Source organism: Homo sapiens, chromosome 1 (assembly GCF_000001405.40).
Source record: "Homo sapiens chromosome 1, GRCh38.p14 Primary Assembly".
NCBI lineage: Eukaryota > Metazoa > Chordata > Mammalia > Primates > Hominidae > Homo > Homo sapiens.
In genome coordinates this window covers 168,508,583-168,522,018 of record NC_000001.11, presented here as the reverse complement: position 1 = coordinate 168,522,018, position 13,436 = coordinate 168,508,583, and the positions used below count along the sequence as shown (strand labels likewise).

The 13,436-nt window shown below is 40.1% G+C and overlaps 3 annotated features.

The window, feature by feature from the left end:
- Window positions 8,413–9,612: an enhancer, noted in NCBI's record as "BRD4-independent group 4 enhancer chr1:168481645-168482844 (GRCh37/hg19 assembly coordinates)". NCBI's record gives its function as "activates an origin of replication core promoter dependent on BRD2, P300/CBP, MED14 and CDK7 cofactors, and independent of BRD4, by STARR-seq in HCT116 cells {active_cell/tissue: HCT116}" and the evidence as "EXISTENCE:reporter gene assay evidence [ECO:0000049][PMID:35650434]".
- Window positions 10,862–12,061: an enhancer, noted in NCBI's record as "BRD4-independent group 4 enhancer chr1:168479196-168480395 (GRCh37/hg19 assembly coordinates)". NCBI's record gives its function as "activates an origin of replication core promoter dependent on BRD2, P300/CBP, MED14 and CDK7 cofactors, and independent of BRD4, by STARR-seq in HCT116 cells {active_cell/tissue: HCT116}" and the evidence as "EXISTENCE:reporter gene assay evidence [ECO:0000049][PMID:35650434]".
- Window positions 11,760–11,819: an enhancer, noted in NCBI's record as "active region_2061". NCBI's record gives its function as "activates an Ori minimal core promoter by ATAC-STARR-seq in GM12878 lymphoblastoid cells {active_cell/tissue: GM12878}" and the evidence as "EXISTENCE:reporter gene assay evidence [ECO:0000049][PMID:35858748]".

Genomic DNA, 13,436 nt, shown 5'->3' with positions numbered 1-13,436 from the left:
GGAGTCTGAAAGGATTAAACACCCAGTATTTGTCTAGCACATATAAGCACTGACAATGCAAGTTGTCCAGAGTTTCAGTACAACAGTCAGCAAGCAAAAAGAGTTGGCAGAAAAGGGAGATGGGCCTAATCAAGCTGCTGTGAAGTAGCTAAGTTGTATTGCACCAGATAAGAGGCTTTGCAGTTCTTTATGATAACCACATCACCTTCCTCCTGCAACCTCATGGTCATAACCTGTCTCTCTGACCTCCAGGTTTAGGTTAAAGCCTCAAATTCCACAGCCTTTGTAAAGTCAAACTCTGGTTTCTGCAACTCTCTAGTTTCTGCAAATTCCTCCCTAGTTTCTGCAAATTCTAGTTTTTGCAAGCTCTCTAGTTTCTGCAAATTCTTAGAGACTCCTCCTTTCTTGTCATATTTCCTGCCTCCATCTCCAACCTCTAAATATACTGTTTCTGTTTCAACTCCATATCTGTGCTGACAAGACACACTCAGCTCCTCAGATTTCTGCAAATATATATATATCTCATTCCCATCAAGAACTTGGAAGATAGTAACTTTTCTGATTTTCAGGGAAGTAGGGGATGAAAGGATGGTATCACGTCATATAGCCCACAGTCTTCCATCAAGTCACTCTTGGTCCCTTTTTTCTCTCTTAGCACCCCTCCTTTTCAAAGCAAAATGCATTGTACTCTTTATCTCACCCTTACAATTAGAAGAGCAAGTGTTATTGCTTGCACATGCCCTGGAATCTCACAATTCAACTCAAGCAATTTATCAAAGTATTTCTTCCAAACAAATAAATATAGCATCTTCTCCAAAAGGAATCAGTCTGAATATTTTTCTTCACCTCATTGTACCCATATTTGGGATTGATACTGGGACAGAGTCTAAGTGCACATTGGAAGAGTTCTCAGTGGAGAGTGATGAACTCAATCACGTGCACTCAGCCTCATGTAAATTTGCTTTACTTCCATCTACTTCCCCTTTTCAGGTATTAGCATGAAAGAGAGGACCAAAAAAAGGGAAATTTTTCCATGTCATTTCGTATGGTAAGTTAGGAAGTAGAATATTTTGTGACAGAACATGTTTCTTTTAGGCAAATATGCTGGACTTGAGCAACGTGGTTTTCAGCCCTCCTGAACATGAAGCGAGGAGGCATCCTGCATCATTCATCCAGCCCCCTTAAATTAAAGCCCTCCCCATAGAAAGTCTTAAAAAGTCACAGAAGAGAATGAGGGGGAGGCAGGAAAGAATGCAGTGACATTTGCAAGGGGCGCAAGGGCTGGGACAATTATAGATTAAAATAGAAGAGCTGAGTTGGGTGAGAGGAAAACCCACCACAGTGATAGTAGAGCATTATTGTTCTTTTCCCCCATGATGACATATACTAACATATATAAGTACCCGTTCGCTTGGTCACACCCACAACTGACTGCAGAGAAAGCCACAGAGTCTTTAACTGTCACTCCCCCCTGCCTACTAAAGGATGGATCTCGGCAGTGAGAAAAGAGTAGGAGGAGCTGTGACCTGGGCCCCCTGCTCCCAGGCAAGCTTGTGAGGCATGTGAAGGGGAGGAACTGCACGAGAGGGTAGGTGCAGGAGGGCAGGGGGCACCTGCAGGGTCTCACACAGGTGAGGTTTATTTCTGTCTCTAAAGGCTCGGCTCATCCTGTACCCTTTCCAAGGATATTCATGTCTCCCAGCCCCAAGGCCTGGTGTGTAATCACCAAACCTATTTTGTCCAAGAAGCAGAGAATAAAAATGAGCAGCCACAGGAAGTTGCACCTTTAAAGTGTATTCCTGCATCTACACTTTCAGTCTGAAAGTTTTGAATTCATTTCACAGATCAGCTGAGATATTACATGTATTGAGACAATGAGCTGATGAGAAAAATAAACCTGAAGAGTAAAGAGAATGATTTAAAAGAAAGGAAAATTCCCTAATCCTAGAAATTACTGAAGACTGTTTTCTTTTTCTCTAGTACCCTTTCCATTCATTATGTCTTCTGTGATTTTCAAAACAACTCTGTAAGATAAAGAGTCCTTGAAAAAAGGGAGAGGTGGCACATTCACTTTTGGCTGTATGGCCAGTGACAGATTAAAATACTTTTCTACTTAAAAATAAAGTGTCAGGAGTATACAATTCTACCGAGTTAGATGGAGAGAGGAGAAGGACAGGTCATACCCTAGAAGATAGGTAGAGATTAACACTTGGTTTAAAGGCAGGTAATTAAGACAGTGTGCTATCAGGAAGGAATAGGCAAACTGACCCATGGAGCAGAGAAAGAGTGTGGACACAGACCCACTTAATCTATAACTGGCCAGGCATTGTAGATCAGTGGAGAAAGAACAGACAATTAAATAAGTGCTTCTGGATCTAGTGTTCAACCACACAGAGGGAAATGAAATAAGGTCCCTATCTCACAACAATGAAGAAATGTGGGGGAAAAAAATAAAAGACTTGTAGAAGAAAATATGGAAGATCTTTATGACTAACAAACACACAAAAACTAAAACCCTAAAGAAAAAGATTGATAAATTTAATGACATTTAAATTAACAACTTCTGCTCATTTAAAGATGTATAAACAGGGCAAAATACAAGACACCATTAGGAAGAAATATTTGCTACACATATGAGAAAAAAAAATTTATATCCAGAAAAAAATACTTCCTACAATTAGTTTTTTTAAAAAAAAGACCAAAAAAATCTTGAAAATGGGCAAAATCTATGAACAGGTGTTTCATAGAAGAGGAAACACAAAGAACCCATAAATTAAATGAAAACGTGCTTAACTTTAACCTCATTAGTAATTAGGAGAAGAATAAAACTAAATGAAATGCCAAGTCTCTCCTTCCAGATTACTAAAAATAAGAAAGTAAAACAATAACAAGTGTTGACAAATATGTAGAGGAAAGGAGAATTCTCATTCCCTGCTTCTAGGTTTATAAATTTGTATAAATACTTTGGAAAGCAGTTTGGCACACCCTCGGGAAAGCTAAACATGCACATATCCAGTGACTCAGAATTTTTCTCCCAGGTTTATACCTAGAGAAGCTCTTGAACATGTGTTCTAGGAGATATATTAAGAATGCTCATAATGAACATAAACTCTTTATATAATATTCATAATAAAAAGGAAAAATAATACATTTTTCACTTCCATCAAAGGGAGATCAATTTTTTGGAACTAAATTACTGTTATTTGCAAATGTTTTTCTCAATACCAATAAAACTAATACCAATGCTTTTCATAGCTGTATGTGATCTGTATCCAAATAGGCCTATTAAAGGCTAAACTCTTTTCACATTAATCATCATAATGACCCTAGAGGACTGAGAACTGTTGGATTATAAATGGAAAAAATGCGGCCCAAACAGTAAAATTTGTTCATAAGTTTAAGAAGAGTTAGAAGTAGCTCTGAGAAAAAAAAAAAAAAAAACCAACACACCAGACTTCTTTGGAATGAAAGTAGAGCTCCCCACTGATGTCAGTGGTAATTTTCTCATCAGTGAAGCCTCAACACCACTTGCATTTGACCACAAATAAGAATCATTTCCTTCTGATTTTTAAAAACTCCTTCCTCAAGCCAGGAACGCATACGTAGATGGCTCAACATGAGTGTGTGTATGCTGTTTTACTCCTACATTGGATGGATACACAAGTTGCTTTCTGAGCCCAATGTGTCCTCAAGAACAGGTAAATCTCCTTCCACCAAGATGAAAACTTTTCCAGTAGGAAGGCGTTAGCAGCACCAAGTGAGAAAAAGACAGAATCAGACATATCCAGGTTGATTCTTCACCTCTCTGAGTCTTACATATTTCCACAAATGAAGTGGAGCTAACAGAGGAAGGGGAAAGAAGTACCTAGAATATGCCATGCACAGTGCCAGGCACATGATAGGGACTCAGCAAGACCTAGCTCTCTCCCATCAGGCTCTTACCTGTGACTGGACCATTCCACTCACTGAAAGAGAGTCTGGCCCATCCAACATCCGACTCTGCCCACAATTCTAAACCCAGATGGGAGCCCAGCCAAAGAGGATGTACCAAAAACTCATGAAGCTTAAGCTTCAGGCTTTTTCTTGCAGTGGCCCATTTAATGGGCCAAGAGTTTTTGCTGAGAGTTGTAGAATATTCTATATGGAGATGGGAAGGCACATTACAAGTAGAAAGCATTTCTAGAGAAGACCCCTGGTAAATTGCCTGGAAAACTGCCTCAGAGGGGAGACGCCCCCATAATCTATTGTGATTTATTTTCTCATTCTACATAGATACCTACCTTCACATATTTTTTAAAAGAATATTTATAGCAGCCTTTGTAATAGCAATGACTGAATATAACCCATATGTCCATCAGAAGTAGAATAGATTAATAAATTGTGGTATGTCCACACAATGGAATATTGTGCAAAAAGAATAAACTCCAGATGCATGGATTGATTTGAAAAAAATCTCAATTAATATTATAAGAAACGTACATTAGCAAAATATATCCAGTATAATTCCACTTATGTAAAGCTCAAAATATGCAAAATATCAACAACATATTGTGTAGAAATATGTATGTAATTGCACTATAAATCGAAGCAAAAGAGTGATTAACACAAAATTCAGAAAGGTGGTTATCTCAGGGGTGAGGGATAGTAAGACTGGGGAGACACTCACGAGAACATTTTACTTATTGTAGTCTCTTTGTTAACCTACATGGTGGCTACATACACAGTTGTTCATTTTGTTATTCTTTAAATTGTACTCTTATTGTTAAGATTTTTTTCTAATGATCGGTGACAAAGATGAGACTCCACAATTTACAAGCTAGTTCCCAAGCTGGCTAACGGCAGCACAATGCTGCCTATTCTCACTATTACTCTGTCAAATCCTTCTCACCCCAAAATATAAATTTTTAATGGATGACCCTTTTAAACTTGGGTCCCAGCTTAGACAGCTATTCAAAGGAGGAGGGAAATGAGCACATGCATATTCATGATATCTTTACCTGAGATTCTCATGAGTTTAGTCTCCATATTTCTATCACGAGAGTCAGATGGCAAAGAAGAATAAGAACAGAAATTTTAAATTTGACTCCATGGATCTTAACAGTTAATTTGATTTTTGACTTTCAGATTTTTTGAATAGTGGACCTATGTTATGTTTGGCCAACCCTTCCTCTGCAATAAATTAAAACTTCATAAAATACTTTTAGCACTCTCACAAGCATTTAGACTTAAACTATTATCTCTAATAATTAAAAGAAGAATGTTGTCACCTTCTTTGCACAAAGAAGAGAAGAAGTTTAATGAAAGATTAAAATAAAGCCTCACAAAATAAGATTAATAATAGTTACTTGTGTACTCTGTATTACTCAGAGATCTACTGAATTAAATATTATTATGTTAACAACCCCCTATTCATTATATAATGGCAACCCAGTGTTAACAACTACTAACCCCAACAAGCTTGTTTTAATGAGTAAAGATAATATTGCTACCAAGAATTTTGAACCTGTGTTTTCCTAGGTCATGGGCTACCAACTCAGCCAGCTGACTTCCAAATGAACAGTGTTAGCCTTAATAGATTCAGGAGAGAATGTGTGGACCTATCAAAATCTTTACCACACTTGTAAAAACTCAAAGAAAACATCTTATCTCAGTGAATTTAGAATGCCATCACTTTCCAAATATATAATAAGTTATTGTTTCTGATGGTAAAACAAAATATATGTGTGATGAAAATTTTGGAAAAGGTAGAAAAAAATAAAGACTATTTAAATTTCCTGTAGTTCTACCATCTAGAAATTACCACTATTCATGTTTTGGAGCATTTTCTTCCATGGTTTTTCTTCCCAAGGACACATTCATATGTTTACATATTTGAGACTCTACAGTTAGTTTTCTTTTTTCATTTTTGTGTTAGCATCATATTATAAGCACTTGCCATTATTTATTGATCATTCCTATGGTTATATAATATTCTCCATATGGGTATAATATAATTTAAATAAAATTCTCTGTTTGGGGACATTTTGGTTGTCACCTTTTTATATCAAAAAGACCTTTTAGTTCCTCCAGTGATTAATGTACTTTACTACAATGCAATCTATCAGTGTAGCAAAATGGCACTTGTACCCCATGAATATATACAAATAACATAAGTAAGTGTGTCAAATTATTCTCAAAAAAGCTGGAAAACAAACAGCCTTTGTAGTTTTGGGTTTTTTTCATATCTTATGTGTATCTCTTGCAGTACACAATGGATACCAACTTTTAAGTTTTTGAAAAATGTGTCATTGATCTCATTTTTAAGGCTAGAAATCTATTTGTACATTCTTTCACTTAACAAATATTTATCACGTGCCTATTACATGCCATGAACTGTTTTAGGTGCTAGGGATAAAGCCTAGAACAAAATAAAGTCCCTGTCTTCATGAGCTTATCTTATAGCAGAAGAGACAGAAAGAATATGTCATGGGTTGTTAACTATAACAGAGAAAAATTAAGAGGGATAAGGGGAAACAGAGAGTGTTTGTGAGGAGGTAATGGTGGTAGTGGTCTTACTGTATAGAAAGAGGGCTGTCTGGAAAGGTGATAAGCTGAAATTTGAACAGACATGATGAAGTGAGACACAGGGAAACCCAGAAGAGAATTTCAGAAGAGGGAACAGCAAATGCAAAGATACTGAGATGAAATAGGAATATTCTTGGTGTGCTTGAAGAACAAAGAGGCTGGTGTGGCTGGAGTTGAGAAGGTGAGTCGTAGAGGGCAGAGAGGTAGATGACCAGGCCAGGTCAGGGAGAGCCTCAAGAATCATCCTGGCTATTGTGTAACCAACAGACTCTAGGTGGAGTGAGGGGCAAGGTGGAGGCAGAAAGACCAGTTAGCAGGTGACTAAAAAAGTAGGTAAAAATGACAGTAGCCTGGACTACAGGAATATTGGAGAAGATGGAAAAAAATAATGCTATTGTGGATATATTTTGAATTTAAAGATGTCATATTTGCTAATGAATTATATGGGTCTGTGAGAGAAAGAGAGGAGGCAAAGATGGTTCCAGGACTTGGGCCCGAGAAAGTGAAAAAAAAGGAGTTGTCATTTACTGAGATATAAGTGGCCATATAATAATCTGTTGCCTAAATCAGAACACTTTTCAGAGTGAAGAAAGAAGCTCTTGATAATTAAAACATGACAGGACAACATGCGTAAAGCCAGAACTGATCCGAATAGAGTAAGACAAATCACCATCCTAATCACTGGTGACCTTGACAAAAGCAGGTGGGATTTCTGTTTTGTTTTGGTTTTTCAGTGATGAAAGAAAAGAAACTTAAAAAAAAAGGAAAAAGAAACTTGACTGTAATGTGTTCAAAAGAAAAGGAAGTGGAGACAGCTAGTACTGATAACCCTTTTGAGGAGTTCAGCTTATGGCTCAAAAGGGGAGCAGAGAAATAGGCTAATAGATCAAGGAACATGTACATTCAAGACAGATTTAATTTTAGATGGGACAACATTGCATATTTATATGCTGATTGGAAAATCCAGGGGTGGGAGAGATGCCAGAGAGCAGAAACAAAGCTGGAGTGATGCCCTTGATGGGTAGGAGGACATGGGGTCCAGGGCCCTGGAGGAAGGTTTGGCTTGGGTAGGAACAGAGATGTTTCATTCGTTGGAGGAAAAGTAGATTGAGAGAAGTGGGGACGGAAGCAGGTGGAAGTTCTCTTCTGATTGTTTGTATTCTCTTGATGACTCTAGGAAGCCAAGTCAAAGATCCAGCCAAATAGAAAGCAGACTTCTTTATCACGGACTCGGAACAAGACAAGCTGAGTCATTGTTTCCACTCCGACTTTTTTGACTCCTTTGGGACAAGTGCCCCCATCTACCCATAACACCAACAGAGTCACTGGCAATGAGGTTCACCTGCCCATCACACCAGGGACAGAGAGGTGGCAGGGAGAAGACTCCCCCTGCAGTCCCTCTCATCAGGGCATGGTAGGACAGTGGAAGGCATTGGGGTAGAATGTGCAGTGGCCACTGAAGACAAACTTTGTGGAAACGGGATCATTTATCTGCCACAAAAAGAGAAGAAACAATAAGGAGTGGTATCCTTGATGAGGCAAGAAGGGGATGGACACAGTGCTCTAGACGGAGACTTCTTTATTCAAAAGAGAATTCTCTGGCGCGCTGTGCTATGCCCTGGAGATTCTGAGTGAGACACAGGCCCTGGCCTTCAGGAGACCACAGGCAGTGAGGGAAATAGAAAGCAAGGAGGCAGTAAATTGATTTTTGTTTGTTTGTTTGTTTGTTTTGTAAATGGATAGGATTTGGTTACATGGTGTGCTGGAAGTGCCCTGCACAAACATCAGAGTTCTGAGGCGAATAAATCTGTATCCAGCCCTCCGTCGCATCAGGGAGTGGACGCTACAATGCTCTCCACTCTCCCTGTACATTACGAACATCAAATTGGCTTCCATGCTGCACACGCTGCGGTCAGTCTCTCTCTAAACTCTCATATGCACGACAGGAAGTGGCAGATTCCCCCAAGTACACTTCTTTGTGACTTTGAAGTCCCTTAGCATTTGGCAGCACTTTTATTTTTAACATAAGTAAGTGCAGCACCGTCTGCTCGCAACAGCTATCACAAAACGCATCTATTTTTGACTGAAGCCAGACCCACCTCAGCAGTCCAGCCTGTCAAAGCCAGTACTCCACCTCAGGCTCAGTGGACACTGCTGGCATGCAAAACGTCATGGACTTTCTATGACACCTCAAAGCCCGAGGCAGCACAAGAACCTTGGAGGGTGCTGGGAGCCCTTATCCGATGCCTTAACTCCCGTGTCAGTGATCTTTAGTTTCCTCCTTGACATTTAACCTTTCTTGACACTTGCCCTCCCCCAATCCCTCCCTTTCAGGTTTCCCCAGAAACCTTTTGGACATAGGAAATGACTGCTAAATGATGCTGAAACATCAAAGGGCCTGTGTGCACTTTAGTAAAATGCCAGTCCATCAGGTGACATCAGCAAACAGCACAGGAGCCTTCAGATGGATCATTGGAACTGAATACCAGAAATCTGCGACTCTGTCAATGGAGTATCTGACAGGAGGCAATATTTAACAGAAGTAACAGCCGGAAGACAGGTTGAACCTGAGGATAAGTGATGTGAGGTTTAGCAGGTGTCTAAGATACGGTGGCAAGATTTCTCACACTTTTCTAAGTTTCTTAAACTAGACCAGAAAAATTCCCTGAAAACAAACAATGCCACAGTTTCCCATGGCAGGTGTAGAAGCAGAGTAATATCAAAAACTTGCTAACCTAATAGGCTATTTCCATTTCTTAGTAATGTCTCTGATGATCAACCATATTAAAACTTTCCATGACTCATCCTGAGCTCTGGACCCATGGGGTAGTTAAAAGAGTGGACGGCCTACCTGAGTTCACATCTTGGATCCACCATTTGCTGGCTTTGTAACTCTCCGCAAATGTCCTCACCTCTCTGTGCCTCCCCTTCCTCATCTGTAAAATGGAGTGAAAGCAGAATGTCCTCCACATGGGGGTTGAAAGGTCACACAAGGTAACCTGTATGCCCTGGGCTTGGTGCTGGGGCAGCACAAGATGCAAGTTCAGTGATATGATTATCACTAATAAGTGCTAACTTTATTTCACGTTATTTACCTCAAACTCAGTGTGCTCAAAACTCACCTTGGGTTTGCCGTTAGCCCCAATAAATCCACAACCTAGTGAATTGGCTTTACTTGGAATTATGTTTAAGTATTCTCTCATGAAATAAAAATCCTTTAGGTTAATAGAGTTCCTGATATCAGCAGAATGATGACACAGAGTTATTATTAGGAAGGAGAGCCTTCTCCACATCCTTAAAATTACACTAAGTCTTTAATGTAGTAGAAAAGAGCTGCCCTGCCTTTCAACTCTGTAGACACCAGTTCCAACCCTGCTGTTAGCGTCTCACTGTGATGCTTTCCCTGAGTCCCAGCAACAGCCTCCAAAACTATTTCTAAAGACTTGAGAAGACCATAATGAAGAGCTCAGGCTTTGGATCATTTAAGACACAGGATTAAATCCTAGATTTCCTGGTCAGTAGCACAGCAAATTTAAATTTCCTAATCTCCTAAGGCTCAATTTCCTCTACTAGAGACAATTCCAGAATCCACTTCATAGGATGCTATAGGAATGCTGTGAAGTAGATATGAGCAAAGGCCTGCTCCCAGCTAATCCCTCTAACATTAACCAGCCCTGAGCCTGTGGACAGGGTAACTTCATCTCTCTGGGTCTGTTTCTGCATCTATAAAATAAAGGACTTGGATTAAATGATCTAAATTTCCTCTAGCCCTAATGAACTCGAAGCTTTGATTCCCAGATCCTAGAATGTTCAACATCTGTGATTTTTCTAATATTGTTCCCTCCTTCTTGAATGCTTTGTCTCCATTCCTTCCGTCAATTTCTGATTGTCAATCTTCTCTCACAGTATAAGACAACAAAAAAGAATTCTCAATCTTCAAGATCTGTTTCAAAAAGAATGAGAAATTGGTGTACTAGGGAAAAACTTAACACCACCACTCTGGGCAAATCTCAGACCACCTCTGATCCTTGATTTCCACTCTGTGAAAAAGAAATAATAATGTCCACCCTGCATTCCCCACAGTCTCATTGTGAGGATTCATTGATTATTTCATTCACAGTCTTTGCAACTGGTAATTATAAACAGGGCATTACTAGTTGCCGTCTTCTCTGTGAGCCCCTTTGCTCCTCTCTGATGGCTGGTTCTGTGCTTTGCCTTGTGTTGTTGTGTGTGTGACTCTACCACAGCCCTGCAAGCCATGCAGTGAAGAAGGTCTGTCACCGACTTCTCATGCCATCTCCTCAAAGCAGTCACCTCAGAGTTGGCACACAGTTGGTGCTCAGTGAACATTTTTTTGTGTGTATTCATGCATTCAACAAAAAATTATTAAACCATGCTGGGTTTTGAAATGCAATGATAAATGAGACACAAACACTTCCTGCATTTGTGAAACATAATGGTCTAGAGGGTGAAAGACATTAAACAGATGAACGTAGAATCGATTAATTATACCAATAAGTGCTAATAAGGAAAATTGCAGCTGTTAATAGTGTGGATATGTCTGTGATACTTAATTTAATGTGAGGCATCAGGGAAAGTCCCTTGAAGAAGTAACAGTGAGGCTGGGATCTAAATAATCATATGACTTTGTGTTCATCAGAACTAAAGTCTAGAGCGAAAGTCAATACATTTAACTCTCCCCCTATAGGGTTCTCCAGGTCAGATGAGTATATTCAGCTGGTTACGTCAGTCAATCCCACATGTGCGGTTCCTCCATGATCTTGCCGTGCATCAGACATCTTCAACAAATAATAACAAGTCATGATGTGCTCCTCACCCAGCTCAAACTACGTCATCCAGCCCAGCTTCCTCCTCTCTTCCCACCACCCAGCACCACTGCGAAGAGATGGAAAGTCACCTTCCTCCCCAGCAAGTCATCCCTTACCCCCAGATAACACTCCTCCTTCGGTTCTGCCAGCCCAGATCTCTGTCCTCCCATTTCCTCAGCCTCAGCCCCCACACTTCACACATCACCTTCTTGACAGTGAGTTTGGACTTTCACCCCATCCGCTTTTTAGCCACCCACAACATGCCTTAGTCCTGTTCTCAACCCTATGCAGATGCCTCATGAAAGAAGTGTCCTTTCATTCGATTGCAGTGGTTTCTCCCTCTGGGCTCTATCAGGGGTTATTTCCTGAGCACTCCCACCCCAGTTCTGTCTCATTACAGATTTTGGAAATGTGTCTCTTTCTGCATCAGCAAGATGGAAGGCAGACCTGGGAACCAGGACTCAGCAGGCCATGTAAGGTCACACAGCAGGCCCTGTCATTCAGCCCAGCTCTCTCACAAACTCTGCAGAGACGGTGCAGCCCTCTGACGTTCAGGAGCAGCTCTGAAAGGAGTTGTGGCATTTACCTTTCTTCTGACCACAATAACACCCGAGATGTGGACTTTCCCCTGCAGTGACTTGACTCCACTACACACTGCTTATGGGGACATTGGGCTATTTTAAGCATTCAAGTCAGCCTATTCTGGGTTCTGAGCAATGTAAAACGAATGAGATTGCCCTTCAAAGACCAAAGAAAAGCTTGGGGCTAAGTATCACATAGCAGAAATGAGCATTTAAATTATACTCACCCAACACAATATGTTCCTGATTAGATCAGATATAAAGTAGGAATGAAAATATGATGAAAACTTCAATATTGGGCAGAATATAATGATTCACAGCACTAATACATGATCACAAAAATGTAGTGGATTCTAAACAAGTTTCTACTAATTGGTGACTTAAAAGGAAGTTTCTATGGAAAAAAATACCATTCAAGAGCACTTCTCTGAGGAAGAGAGACCTAGGAAAATGGCAATTGGCTGACTTGAGAGTCTTCAGACATACATCTATCCACCTGAGACTATGGGCACACACATCTTCAAATGGCTTTGCTAGCATAGAGCCCAGAGGAAGGAAGATTCCAGAGTAAGGGGTCAGTGTGGGCTCTCTCTCAGTGACGCAAAGAAGAAAGCAAAGGGGAAGTGACTACTGAGCCCCAGTCTTGGGAATAGATAGAAGGCAGAATTCCAGAAGGGCCACCAGTTAACACATCAGAGAGGAGTAAGCAATCATTGACTAAGAATTTAGTGAGATTCCTGAAGTAACTCACTCCAGTGATAAAGGTACATGGTCTGTACAAGGTAATCAGTTTCTTGAAAGGATAAAACAAAATGGCCTGGAGATGAAACAGACTGAAGCATGTACAGCTTGACTGACCACTGTTTCACAGCTGAGACATAAACATAGATCAGAAATTAGCTCTGCCCTAAGACTCCTCTCAATGCTACATATGTAGCATGTGCAGGAAGGTATTATGTGAACATCTGGCATCAGAATCTCCTTAGAGATTGAGCCATCTTTAGGGAATCACTGGGGAGGAAGGTGAAACCCCAAGTATATGAGTAGATCGAGTAAACAAGCCAAAAAATAAGCAGGAAGGAGAGGAAGAGGATGGCCAAGTAACAGAGTAGACTATCCAAAGGTCCTTTATTAACAAAAGTATTTCATAATAAATTTGAAATTTTTAAGTTGCTTGATTGCTTGAAGTAAATGCCACACTTCTTTGCCTTTTCTTCCAACCTTCAGTCCTTTGGTAAAGTCTGCTAGACCCACAACAAAAATGACACGTGTGTATGTGTGTGTGTATGTGTGTGCGTGTAATCAAACACCAGGGCTGAGTTTCCTAGCCACACTGACCAGTGCAGAACAACAATTATACACACACACACAAAAAAAAAATGGTCTAGAAGCTAAACTATTCAATGGCCACAGAGGCTCAGAACTAACGATAATTATGAAACATAAGCCCCTTTGTGAAACT